At 38.4% G+C, this 14,287-nt stretch overlaps 1 long non-coding RNA gene across 1 annotated transcript in view, besides 2 other annotated features; it reads right to left on the bottom strand.

Annotated features, from left to right (window-relative positions):
• NRXN1-DT (NRXN1 divergent transcript) overlaps positions 1-14,287 on the bottom strand; it is a 1,375,317-nt gene that overhangs the window by 602,335 nt on the left and 758,695 nt on the right. The gene's annotated exons all lie outside the window — the stretch shown is intronic.
• Positions 12,909-13,408: an enhancer, noted in NCBI's record as "H3K27ac hESC enhancer chr2:52019313-52019812 (GRCh37/hg19 assembly coordinates)". NCBI's record gives its function as "activates a minimal SCP1, AML or CMV promoter by ChIP-STARR-seq in primed H9 embryonic stem cells {active_cell/tissue: H9 hESC(primed)}" and the evidence as "EXISTENCE:reporter gene assay evidence [ECO:0000049][PMID:30033119]".
• Positions 13,409-13,910: an enhancer, noted in NCBI's record as "H3K27ac hESC enhancer chr2:52018811-52019312 (GRCh37/hg19 assembly coordinates)". NCBI's record gives its function as "activates a minimal SCP1, AML or CMV promoter by ChIP-STARR-seq in primed H9 embryonic stem cells {active_cell/tissue: H9 hESC(primed)}" and the evidence as "EXISTENCE:reporter gene assay evidence [ECO:0000049][PMID:30033119]".

Below are 14,287 nucleotides of genomic sequence, written 5' to 3'. Positions count from 1 at the left end.
AGGCAAGGACTGAGCATGTAGGGAGATGGAAAGGTGCATGTGACCTGAAGCTAGGTGAGCTTCACAATCACAACAGTGATCACATACAAGTTACAAACATCTGTTCTTGAACGGCACAGTTGCAGAATGGCCGGTAGTTACAAACCACCACCACCACCACTACCACTACCACCACCACCACTACCACCACCACCACCACCACCACTACCACCACCACCACCACCACCACCACCACCACCACCACCACCACCACTACCACCACAACAACAAAAGAAAAAAAAAAAAAACTGATACTGACTAAATCTTGTTAAGAATAAGGGTAGTTGTTTTTTTTTTTTTCTTTTTTCAGCTGAATCTGTAAGCAGCTCCTTTAAACTGCATATCAGTAATGTATCCTTATGTGACTGGTTGCCTGGGATGTTCCCTCTTTTATGTTGTTGGCCTCCTGTTCCATCCTGCTTAACATGTGTTGCCTGGATGATATAGTATGCAGTCACCCAATCTATTGAACACTAAGGTATTAGCTTTAAATTATTAATGAAAAGCCTAGGTTTGCAGTATCAATAGGCTCCCCAAAATTCAGTTCCTTTTGATGTTTGAACTGTATTTAGGACTCATATAGGAAACTGTACAAGGAGAGGATACCTGCCTGGATTCATGTGGATTATACACTGTGCCTCTGTAAATTAATGTTCTACAATGGAAGTTTTCACATACACAAAAATAGAGACAGTAGTGAAATAAACATTCTCGGACCCAGAACCAACAATATTTGTTTAATTTGGCCCCCCATCCAACCCCAGCACCACCCTTTCTTTTAGAGCATTATGTAGTAACTCTTGAGAATCCAATCATGTCAAATATAAACATACTAGTATTTGTAACACATATGGATTTTGTAAACTTAACAAAAATACCATGAACACATTCAATGTTAATCATTATTTTAAACAAATAAATGGCTTTTCATTTAATATGTAATTATTCGATCATTGATTATTAATATAAAATTCTTATTAGCATCAAACACACAGATCACATTTTACTTTGCCCAAAAGTTTTCCAAAAATTGTTCATTTTAATAAGAGTCCAACCGAAGTCACACACTGAATTGGATTGATATTCTCTGAGATCTCTTTTTATCTGGAGCAGTTCCTTCCTATACTTCTTTTTTTCTCCATTTATATGTTGTAGAAACCAGGTCATCTCTCTGGTGTAATTTTTCACACTCTGCAAAATGTAATACTATTTAACATGTTCCTCTATCTCCTGAATATCTCATAAGTTGGAGAAGGGGTATATGTAGAGATACATTTAGATTCAGGTACAAAAACTTTTAATACATTTATATAGTTTCAATTATTTCCATTTGTATATTCTTAGTAAAGGTTGAACCACAGGTTCAAGTTGTGTCAGTCTCATATCTCTGTCTTAAAGTTCAAATAATCTTGTACCTAATGGATTAGCAGACATTGATTGTCCTTGATTTGATCCATTCTCTTGCATTTGAGTATCATTCATTCCCCTTCAATTTATTAGCTGTGATTCTTATATAAAGGGAAATTTTTTATCACCAGTTCTTTGATTTGTCTGAAGATGGTCATTACAGGACAGGCTGGACAGATGCTTGCTGCTTTCTCTGTATTTATCTTAGTTGAGAGTATGGCTAGCCTGTTTTACACCATGTTTAAAAAAATACATGGAGGGGGAAGGATATCTCAAGCCTGGGATTATTCAGCTTAGCAGCGAGGAAGATCAGGAATTCAGGACGATGCTTTTGGCCAACTCAGAATTCATTGAGCTTATATGGCCCATAGAAAAATTCACAGTACAAAATTTAGAGTTATATGGGGAAAATAAATACGCCAGAAGGGAATAAAAAGAATAAGGAAAAATACAGTCAAATCTAGCAACAAAAACTAATTATGTATATAAAGGAAGAAAAAACACAAGAAACAGATTGACATGTTAAAAACTCATCCAAGTTTGCTCAGCCCCTCAAAAATATGGAAGAAATAGAACACTTTTCTTTGGCCTGAGCATTTTCCTAGGAAGGGACAATGGCAAGAACCACAAACGCTGCAAAGAGAGCACAGAAACTTCGGCTCTATGCTCAATGCATCAATTAGTAGTAAATAACTCAGAATTCAAAGCCAAAGTATAATAATAAATTTGTATATGTAGGAAAGCTTCCTAAAGTAAGAGCCATTGATGAAAAATATGTAATTTTACAAAAAAGGGCCTCCAATACCACTTTCTGAGAAGAGAGAAAGTGATTCATAGTTTAAAATTATTACCAGAATGGGCTAGTTCTTCAAAGTGATTTGAGTTCATGGTTCATGGATTCCAGATAACTACTATAAATCTATTGATATCTCGGTAATGCTAAGACCAGAATTTGGTCTGCTCATGTTAGATCAATGCTATGATAAGCTTTTGTATTATGTTAAATCTTTGGATTCCTTGAAAAGTGATGCACATCAGAAAATTTGTTTTGAATTCTGAGACTTTGAAAGGAATACACCCATAAAGTAGTACAGACCAGGCTCCAGCTGATGAATTTAAGAATCTTTTGGAAACCCCTAATTGCAACTGAATAGACTATGAAATTTGAAGGAAGAATTCTGAGCCTGAATTTCTCTTAACTTAAACCTTCAAAGTATTTAGATATGTGAACATTAGTTAATAAGGACATGTAATATTTGGATTTTAATTTTTCTGCCACAAATTTGCTAATGGGAGGAGTTTTATATTCCACTGTGAAACATCTTATTGCTGGCCTCTTATTGGCATGCCTTCTTCAAAATGACATCTGGTTAGTAGCAATTAAGATGGTCTCTCTAACATTTTGTTAAATGGAGAGAGAGAAAACTAGGACTGGCAGATAATCTAATAATAGAATATAGATGTAAGTGCCTGAGAAATAAACACTGATTATAGGTATATAAAACTAATGGCAAACAGATATATAGTCCTTTCTCTGAATCATTTATCCATTATAATTGCTTTATATATAAATCGATTTAATTATTATAACAACACTTTGAGGTAGGTTGTCATTTTTACCCCCTTTTAATCAATGGCAAAGTTGAGGCACAGATAGATAAAGTCATTTGCCAAATATTATAGAACTGGTAAGTGGCAAATCAGTTTGATTCTAGGTAATATGGTTTCAAATAGAAGAGAATTAAGAAAAGTCAGCCCAGAGGTCAGTTCATAAAATACTCAATACAGCAATGTTTTTTTCATGTAATATTCAGCCAAAAATATGTAAGAAAGAATAGAATGCCTCCAACCACAATTTCTACTCTCAACTCAAAATCCAGATACTATATCATCTCAAAATAGGGAAGATGCAATTATAAACCCCACAGGAATTATGTATGAGATAAAATAACAATAAACTCTTCTATACTTCAAGCAGTCCCCCGTATTCTCCATTCACTCTAATACTACCATGAGATGTTCATAAAATCAGAAATACTGGCCGGGCGCGGTGGCTCACGCCTGTAATCCCAGCACTTTGGGAGGCCGAGGCGGGCGGATCACGAGGTCAGGAGATCGAGACCATCCTGGCTAACACGGTGAAACCCCGTCTCTACTAAAAATACAAAAAATTAGCCGGGCGTGGTAGCGGGCGCCTGTAGTCCCAGCTACTCGGGAGGCTGAGGCAGGAGAATGGCGTGAACCCGGGAAGCGGAGCTTGCAGTGAGCCGAGATCGCGCCACTGCACTCCAGCCTGGGCGACAGAGCGAGACTCCGTCTCAAAAAAAAAAAAAAAAAAAAAAATCAGAAATACTACAAAGTAGATAAATCAAATCTTAAGAATGTGTTTGAAAGCCTTGAATTTCACCCCTATTATAATAAATAAGAAGGAAACCAGTAATGTAAATGGTGATGTAAAAGTAAAAGAACAAAACAAAACAGAGGTGAGGTTCAAGATGGCTGATTAGATGCAGCTAGTATGTGCCTCTTCCACAAAGAGGAACCAAAATAGAAAGTATGATATAATCTGAATATTTGTCTCCTCCAATTCTTATATTGAAATATCATCCACACAACGTTGGAGGTCAGGCCTAGTGGAAGTTGTTTCAGTCATGGGGATGGATCCTCATGAAGGACTTGGTACTATTCCTGCAGTAATGAATGAGTTCTCACTCTATCAGTTAATGCAAGAGCTGGTTGTATAAAGAGCCTGGCAACTCCTCCTTTTTCTCATGCTCCCTCTCTCACCATATGACATGTCTGCTCTCCTTTCACCTTGTTTTTCATTTTTATCTGTGTTATTGCAAATGAAAGGATCACATTCTTTTTTATGGCTGAATAGTACTCCACTGTGTGTATGTACCACATTTTCTTTATTCATTGGTCTGTCGATAGGCATTTAGGTTGCTTTTGAATCTTAGTTATTGTAAATAGTGCTGCAATAAACATGGGAGTGCAGATACCTCTTTGACACACAGATTTCATTTCCCTTGACAAATACCCACATAGTAGGATTCCTGAATCATAGGGCAGCTTTATTTACTTATTTTTTTGGGAACCTCCATACTGTTCTCTATAGGGTTGTACTAATTTATGTTCCTACCAACAGTGTACAGGGCCTCTCTTTTCATTCCCTTTTTATCCTCACCAGGATTTGTTATTGCCTGACTTTTGGATAAAAGCCATTTTCAATGAGGTGACATAATATCTCAATGTGTTTTTTTTTCTTCTTCTTTTCATTTTTATTCTCAATTTCAAAAGGTTTTGGGGGAACAGGTGGTATTTGGTTACGTGGATAAGATCTTGAGTGGTGATTTCTGAGATTTTGGTACACCCATCACCCAAGCAGTGTACACTAAACCCAGCGTGTAGTCTTTTATCCCTCACCCCCTTCCACTCTATCCCCTGAGTCTCCAAAGTCCAGTGTATCATTCTTATGACTTTAAGTCCTCATAGCTTATGTGATGTTTGGTTTTCTATTTCTGAGTTACTTCACTTAGAATAGTGGTCTCCAATTCCAACCAGGTTGCTCCGAGTGCCATTATTTCATTCCTTTTTATGGCTGAGTAGTATTCCATTATATATACATACCACATACATACATACCACATTTTTCTTTATCTACTCATTGATTGAGGGCATTTATGCTGGTTGCATGTTTTTGCAATTGTGAATTGTGCTGCTATTAACTTGCATACGCAAGTGTCTTTTTCGAGGAATGACTTATATTCCTTTGGGGAGATAATGACTTCTTTTTCCCTGGGTGGATACCCAGTGGTGGGATTCCTGGATCAAATGATAGATCTACTTTTATTTAACTAAGGAATCTCCAAACAGTTTTCCATAGTGGTTGTACTAGTTCACATTCCCACCAGCAGTGTAAAAGTGCTCCCTTCTCATCACATTCATGCCAAGATCTATTTTTTTTATTATGACCATTTTTGTAAGAGTAAGATGGTATTGTACAGTGGTTTTGACTTGCGTTTCCCTGATAATTAGTGATGCTGAGGATTTTATCATGTTTGTTGGCCATTCACATATTTTTTTTGAGAAACGTCTATTCATGTCCTTAGCCTACTTTTTGATAGGATTGTTTCTTTCTTGCTGATTTGTGTGAGTTCTTGTAGATTTTGGATTTTAGTACTTTGTCGGATGCATAGTTTGCAAAGATTTTCTCCCAATCTTTGGGTTGTCTGTTTTCTCTGCTGATTCTTTCCTTTGTTGTACAGAAGCTTTTCAGTTTAATTAAGACCCATCTATTTATCTTTGTTTTTGTTGAATCTACTTTTGGGTTCTTGGTCATAAAGTCATTTCCTAAGCCAATGTCTGGAAAGGTTTTTCCAATGTTATCTTCTAGATTATTTTATGGTTTCAGGTCTTAGATTTAGGTATTTGATCCATCTTAAGTTGATTTTTGTGTAATGTGAGAGATGAGGACCCCATATCATTCTTCTTGCCAATTATCCTAGCATCATTTGTTAAATAGGGCGGCCTTTTTTCATAAAACATTTTATGTTTTTGTTTGCTTTGTCAAAGAACAGTTGGCTGTAAGTATTTGGGTTTATTTCTGGGTTCTCTATTCTGTTCCATTGGTCTATGTGCCTATTTTTATACCAGTACCATGCTGTTTTAGTGACTATAGCCTTACAGTACAGTGTGAAGTCAGCTAATGTGATGCCTCCAGATTTTTTTTTTTCCTTAGTCTTGCTTTGGCTATGTGGGTAATTTTGGGTTCCATTTAAATTTTAGGATTTTTTTTCTAGTTCTGTGAAGGATAATGGTGACATTTTTATGGACATTGCATTGAATTTGTAGAATGCTTTTGGAAGTATGGTCATTTTGACAATATTGTTTCTACCTATCCATGAACATGGGAAGTGTTTTCATTTGTTTGTGTCATCTATGATTTCTTTCAGCAGTGTTTTGTTGTTTTCCTTGTAGAGGTCTTTCACCTCCTGGTTTAGATATATTCCTAGGGTTTTTTGTTTTTGTTTTTGTTTGCAGCTATTGTAAAATGAATTGAGCTCTTGGTTTGATTTTCAGCTTGGTTGCTGTTGGTGTGTAGCAGTGCTACTGATTAGTGTATATTAATTTTGTATTTTGAAACTTTACTGAATTCATTAATCAGTTCTATGAGCTGTTTGGATGAATGTTTGGGGCTTTCTAGATATATGATTATATCATGGGTGAACAGCGCCAGTTTGACTTCCTCTTTACCAATTTGGATTCCCTTTATTTCTTGAGTTGGCCTGATTGCTCTTGTTAGCACTTCCAGTCATATGTTCAACAGATAAGGAGAAAGTGGGCATTCTTGTCTTTTTCTAGTTCTCAGGGGAATACTTTCAACTTTCCCCATTCAATATAATGTTGTCTGTGGTTTGTCATAGATGGCTTTTATTACCTTAACATATGTCCCTTCTATGCTCATTTTGCTGAGGGTTTAATCGTAAAGGGATGTTGGATTTTGTCAAATGCTTTTTCTGTATCTATTGACATGATCATATAATTTTTGTTCATAAGTTTGTTTACATGGTATATCTTATTTATTGACTTGCACATGTTAAATCATCCCTCATTTCTGGTATAAAACCCACCTGAACATGGTGAATTACCTTTTGATATGCTGTTGGATTTGGTTATTTAGTATTTCTTAGAATAGTATGCATCTATGTTCATCAGGAATATTGGCCTGTAGTTTTCTTTCCTTGTTATGCCCTTTCCTGGTTTTAGGGTGGCACTGATTTCATAGAATGATTTAGAGAGGGTCCCTGTTTCTCTATCTTTTGGAATAGTTTCAATAGGATTTGTAACAATTCTTCACTGAATGTCTGATTGAATTTAGCTGTGAATCTGCCTAGTCCTGGATGTTTTTTGTTGGCAATTTTTCTTTTGTTACTAAATCTTGTTGATAGCCTATCAATTTTGTTTATTTTTTCAAAAAAAAAACAGCTTTTTTTCATTATTTGTATGTTTTTCGATTCAATTTCATTTAGTTCTGCTCTGATTTTTGTTATTTGTTTTTTTCTGTTTGGTTTGGAGTTTTTTTTTTTTCTTGTTTCTCTAGTTCTTTGAGGTATGACCTTAGATTGTCTATTTGTGCTCTTTTGGATAGCTTGTGTCACTATTATCATTCAGTTCAAAGATTTTTCTAATTTTCTTCTTGGTTTCATTGTTAGCCCAGCAATCATCAAGGAGTAAGTTATTTAATTTCCATGTGTTTGCATGATTTTGAGGTTTCCTTTTGGAGTTAATTTCTAATTTTATTCCACTGTGGTCTGAGAGAGTACTTGCTATAATGTCAATTTTATTAAATTTATTAAGACTTTTTTTGTGGCCTATCATATGGTCTATCTTAGAGAATGCTCATGTGCCAATGAATAGAATGTATATTCTGCTGTTGTTGAGTAGAATGTAATGTAAATATCTATTATGTTCATTTGTTCTGAATATCTGTTTATTTTTTCTTTGTTGGATTTCTGTTTTGATGACCTGTGTCTAGTGCTGTCAGTGGAGTATTGAAGTTCTCCACTATTATTCTGTTGCTGTCTACCTCATTTCTTAGGTCTAGGAGTAATTGTTTTATAAATTTGGGTGCTCCAGTGTTAGGTGCACATATATTTAGGATTGTGATACTTTCCTGTTGGACTAGTCCTTTGATTTTATATAATGTCCCTCTTTGCTTTTTTTAAACTGATTTTGTTTTAAAATTTGTTTTGTCTGATTTAAGAATAGCTACCCCTGCTCATTTTTGGTGATCATTTGCATGGAATTTTTTTCCCACCCTTTTATTTTATGTGAGTTCTCATGTGTTAGGTAAGTCTCTTGAAGGCAGCGGATACTTGGTTGATGACTTTTTATCAATTCTGGCATTCTGTGTTTTTTAAGTGGAGCCTTTAGGCCATTTACACTCAACATTTGTTTTGAGATGTGAGGTACTATTCTATTCATCATGCTAGCTGTTGCCTGAATACTTTTGTTGTTGTTGTTTTTTCATTGTGTTATTGTTTTGTGATTCCTGTGAGGTTTATGCTTTAAAGAGGTTCTATTTTGGTGTATTTTGAGGATTTGTTTCAAGATTTGGAGCTCTTTTTACCAGTTCTTGTAGTGCTGACATGGTAGTGGTGAATTCTCGCAGCATTTTTCTGGAAAAAGACTGTGTCTTTCCTTCATTTATGAAGCTTAGTTTCACTGGATACAAAATTATTGGCTGACAATTTTTTTTCTGGAGGCTAACGATAGGACACCAGTCCCTTCTAGCTTGCAGGGTTTCTGTTAAGAAATCTGCTGTTAATCTAATATGTTTTCCTTTATAGGTTACCTGATGTTTTTGCCTGACAGCTCTTAAGATTCTTTCCTTCTTCTTAAGGTTATCTGATGACTATGTACCTAGGCAATGATACTTTTGTAATGAATTTCCTGGGTGTTCTTTGACTTTCTGTATTTCGATGTCTAGCTCTTTAGCGAGGCTGGGAAAATTTTCCCCAATTCTTCCCTCAAATATGTTTTTCAAACTTTTTGATTTCTCTTTGTCCTGGGGAATACCAATGATTATCAGGTTTGGTCACATAACATAATCTCAAACTTCTTGGAGAGTTTGTTCATATTTTCTTAATCTTTTTTCTTTGTGTTTGTTAGATTAGACAAATTCAAAAGCTTTGTCTTTGAGATTTTAAGTTCTCTTCTCTACTTGTTTGATTCTATTGCTGAGACATTCCAGTGTATTTTGCATTTCTCTAAGTGTGTCCTTTGTTTCCAGAAGTTGTGACTGTTTTTTTACTTATGCTATTTCTCTGGAGTTTTTTTTGTCCATATGCTGTATCATTTTCTTTTAATTTATTTAAATTGGTATTCACCTTTCTCTGGTGCCTCCTTCAGTAGCTTAATAATCAACCCTCTGAATTACTTATCTGGCAATTCAGAGATTTCTTCTTCGCTTGGATCCATTGCTGGTGAGCTAGTGTGATATTTTGGGTGTGTTAAAAACCTTGTTTTGTCATATTACCAGAATCGTTTTTCTGGTTCCTTCTCATTTGGGTAGACTATGTCAGAGGGAAGATCTGGGGCTCAAGGGCTGTTGCTCAGATTTTTTTATTCAATGGGGTGCCCTCTTGATGTGGTGCTCTCCCTCTTCCCCTAGGGATGGGTCTTCCTGATAGCCAAACTCAGTGATTGTTAGTTCTCTTCTGAGCCTAGCCACCCAGTGGAGCTACCAGTCTCTGGGCTGGTAATGAGGAGCGTCTGCAAAGAATCCTGTGATGTGAGCTGTCTTCAGGTCTCTCAGCCATGGATATCAGCACCTGCTCTGCTGGAGGTAGCAGGGGAGTAAAGTGGACTTTGTGAGGACATTGGTTGTAGTTTTGTTCAGTGTGCTGGTTTTGTGTTGTTTGGCCTCTAGCCAGGAGGTGGCGCTTCACCAGGAGGTGACAGCATCAGCTGTGTTTGCATAGGGAGGATACAAGCTTGTGCTAGGGTCACCTGTATAAGTATTTCAGGCAGTGGATGGGCCCAGAGAGCTCTCAAGAGATTACGTCCTTTGTCTTAAGCTATGAGGATGGGTAGAGAAAGACCATCAGTTTGGGGCAGGGTTAGGCATGTCTGAGCTCAGACTCTCCTTGGGTGGCGCTTGGTGATGCTGCCATGGGAGATGAGGGTGTGGTTCTCAGGCCAATGAAGTTACATTCCCAAGGAGATTACAGCTGCCTCTACTGTGTCATACAGGTTGCCATGGAAGTGGGGAAAAGCCGGCAGTTACGGGCCTCACCCAGCTCTCACATAGCCCAAAATGCCAGTCTCACTCCCACTGTTCTCCCTCAAAAGCACTGGGTTTATTTCCAGGCAGCTGGTGAGCAGGGCTGAGAACTTCCCCCAGGCTATGAGACCCACTGCTGAGAAAGCAAGCAAGGCTTTCAGCTTTCATGTCTCCCCACCTGTCACTGTTCCTGGGCTCATATCTGCTCTCCCCATTCACCCCCTTCCACAGATTCTGTTAAGGAAACTTCATGTTCGGTCGATATTGTTACAAAGTTCAGCTGGAAGTTTCCTTCTCCCTGTGGTCTGTCCCTAATTCCACTGGCAGCCCTCCCCAAGGATTCCTATGAAACAAAGTCAGGAATGATTTTCCTGGGGACTGAGAGTGCCCACAGGGCTCTTTCTGCTGCTTTGTCTACCCCTATAGTTTGCTCAGCTCTCTAGATTTGTCTCAGCTCCAGGTAAGGTCAAATCCTTTTCACATGATTTGGACCTTGAGGTTCCCCAGTGGGGATGTGTGTCTGGGGCTGGAGGTTTCCCTTCTCATACTTTGGGTACTCACAGTTTTTCAGCTGCCTCATAGATCCTGCAACAGCAAGCCACTTCCTTCAAAGGATATGTGGATTCTCTCAGCTTTCCTGGTATTTTCCTGTCGTAGTTATTGGAGCAAAAGCGTGAGTCTCCACATGCTACTCTGTCCATCTGAGTGGGAGCTGCAAGTTAGTCCTGCCTCCTCCTCAGTGTAGTTTTCATTTGTATTATTCTGATGATAAATGATTTTGAGCACCTTTTCATGTACTAGGTAGCCATTTTTATGTCTTTTTGTTTTTCTTTTTTGAGACGGCGTCTCACTGTGTCTCCCAGGCAGTATCTATTTACATATTTCACACATTTTTAAATTGTATTAATAGATTGTTTTCCTATAGAGTTATTTAAGCTTCTTATATATTCTTATTTATTATATATTCCTATATATTTTGGTTATATATCCCATGTTAGATGGATAGTTTGCAAATATTTTCATCCATTTTTTGTGTTTTCCTTTCACTTAATTGATTGTTTACTTAGCTGTTCTGAAGCTTTTTAACTTGCTGTGCTCCCATTTGTCTATTTTTGATTTGGTTGCCTGTACTTATGGGGTTTTATCCAAGAAATCTTTGCCCGGGGCAATGTCCTGGAGAATTTCTTTAACGTTTTCTTTTAGTGGTTTCATAGTTAGAAGTTTCATAGATTTAAGTCTTTAATCCATTTTGATTTTATTTTTGTATGTGGCAGGAGATATGGGTCTAGCTCTATTCTTCTGCATATGGATATCCAGTTTTCCCAGCACCATTTATTGCAGAGAAAATCCTTTTCCCAATGTATGTTTTTGGCACCTCTTTTGAATATTAGTTCACTGTAGATCTATGGATCTCTGTGTTTTGTTCTTTTCCTTCAGTCTATGTATCTGTTTTTATGGCAGTACCATGCTGTTTTTGTTACTATAGCTCTATGGTAATATTTGGTGTCAGGAAATGTAATTACTCCAGTTTGTTATGTTTTGTTTTCTCAAGATGCATTTGACTATTCTGGGTCTTTTTTGGTTCCATATAAATTTTAGAAACACTAATTGGGAACCTATACTGAGATAGTGTGGAGGTAAAATGTGGGGTTGGAGCCTGCACACAGAGTCCCCACTGGGTCCTGCCTAGTAGAGCTATGAGAAGATGGCCACCTCCCTCTGGACTCCAGAATGGTAGGTCAATTGGCAGCTTGCATCATGAACATGAAAACATGAAAAAGCTGGACGCATCCAACTACAACCTGTGAGAGCAGCTGCAGGCACTGAACACTGCAAAGACTTGGGGGCACAGCTGCTCAAGGCCTTGGAAGTCTACTTTTTCACAGCAATGTGCCATAGATGTGAGTCAAAGAAGATTATGTTTGAATTTTAATATTTAATGACTGTCCTGCTGGTTTTCAAATATGTGTGAGGCCATAGCCCCTTTCTTTTGGCTGATTTCGCCTTTTTTGAAGGGTAATGTTTAACCCAATGCCTACAACCTGTTGTATCTCTGAATAAACTGATGTTTTTTGATTTTATAGGCCCACAGTTGGGAGGAACTTGCCTTGTGTTAGATGAGACTTTGGAATTTGAAATGTTGAGTTAATGATGCAATGAGTTAAGACTTTAAGGGACGATTGGGAAGACATTATTGCATTTTGCAATGCAAGAAGTACATGAGATTTGGGGGTCTGGAGAGCAATGAAGTCCCACCAAAATCTCATGTTGAAATGTAATCCCCAATGTTGGAGGTGGGGCCTGATGGAAGGTGATTAGATCATGGGGGTAGATTTCTTATGATTGGTGTAGCATCATCTCCTTGTTATTGTCCCTGCAAGAGTGAGTGTGTTCTCATGAGATGTGATTATTTAAAACTGTGTAGCACCTTCCTTCTGTCTCTCTCTTGTTCCTGCTCTGGCCATTTAATGTGCTTGCTGAACCTTCACCTTCCATCATGATTGTAAGGTTCCTGAGGCCTCCCCAGAAGCAGAGCAGATGCCAGCATCATGCTTCCTGTAAAGCCTTCAGAACTGTGAAATCTCTTTTAACAATAAATTACCCAGACTCGGGTATTTCTTAATAGAAATTCAAGAACAGCTTAATACAACTGCTATGGCCACATTGGTGCCCAAGCTGCTAGACAATACCCTTTTACTCTAAAGGTTTTTGTTTTGTTTGTTTGTTTGTTTTCTTAAGCAAAAGGAGTCTCCTCCCACGGCTGCCACAGCTAGACATGTGCTTGATCACACCTGAAGTCAGCACAGCCCTGGGTCTCATCCTGGGTCTGTGGCAAGTACTGCCTGGGTGCAATTGCTGTTTATTCAAGGTCCAAGGGCCCTTTGGTCATCAAATAATGAATTCTTCCAGGCCCAGGTCTTTCCCTTCCATGCAGCAGTCTTCCTTCTGGCCCAGGCTCTGTCTAGAAATGTCATCCAGGACCTGGGGCCTGGAAAGGGGGCCACATGACTCTACCTGGCCCTATTCTACTGTGGCTGAGCTGCCATCCAAGTTGGAAGACAAAGTCCTCTTCACTTTCCCCTCTTCACTCCTCACGTGGAAGGAAGGGGTCTCTCCTCGAAGTGCATGTTATACTGCCTAGGGTTGGGGGAGGAGTGAAGAAAGCAGTCCCTTGGCCACCCTGGCCAGTGTCTCACTAGGTCTTGTGCACTCCAAGTCCACTGGCTCTAAGCCCAGCATAGCATGTGGACTTGCCCAGAAACTGCAGTCCTTGTGTCCTAGACTGCCTTTATAGTCTATTTAGGCCTGAGAGCGCTTTAGCATGTGTTGGTAGGGTTAGTTGGAACTCAGGTTCTAACCACTAAGATGGGCAATTCCCCTTTGGCTAGGGCTGGTCTAAATGCCCCCTCCATGGGCACTGGCTGAATTCTGTCCCATGTTGCTTTTCTCTGTGACAGGGCAGCATTGAGTTTTAACGCAAAGTCCCACAATCACTACACTCTCTCTCCCTATGCACACAGATTCTTTCTATGTGCCATGTGACTACTGCCAGGAGATGAGGGAGGGGTGTTGTTGGTAATTCAAATGGTCTTTCCTACTCTCTTCAGTGCCTCCTTTTTAAATATGATGTTAAAACCAACACTGTGGTTACTCACCCGCCTGGTTCTCATGAAAGTGCTTTCTCATGCGGATATTTGTTCAATGTGGTGTCCCTGCAGGGATAACCATCACTGGAGGCTTCTATTCAGCCACCTTGTTTTGCCTCCTCCAAGATCATAATTTGATCTTTCATGTTTTTCAAATATACACATTTAATACTATATTTTTTTCTCTGAAGACTGCTTTAGCTCCATCTCACAAATGTTTATATGTTTTCATTTTCTTTCAATTCAAAATGTTTTTAATTATTTTTGTGATGTCTTCTTTGAGCCAAAAATTACTTAGAAGTGTATTGTTTAGGCAGGGCATGGTGGCTCATGCCTGTAATCCCAGCACCTTGGGAGGCTGAGGTGGGCGGATCACAAGGTCAGCACTTTGAGACCAGCCTGGCCA

Source organism: Homo sapiens, chromosome 2 (assembly GCF_000001405.40).
Source record: "Homo sapiens chromosome 2, GRCh38.p14 Primary Assembly".
Lineage (NCBI taxonomy): Eukaryota > Metazoa > Chordata > Mammalia > Primates > Hominidae > Homo > Homo sapiens.
This window is presented reverse-complemented; position numbering and strand designations above follow the sequence as displayed.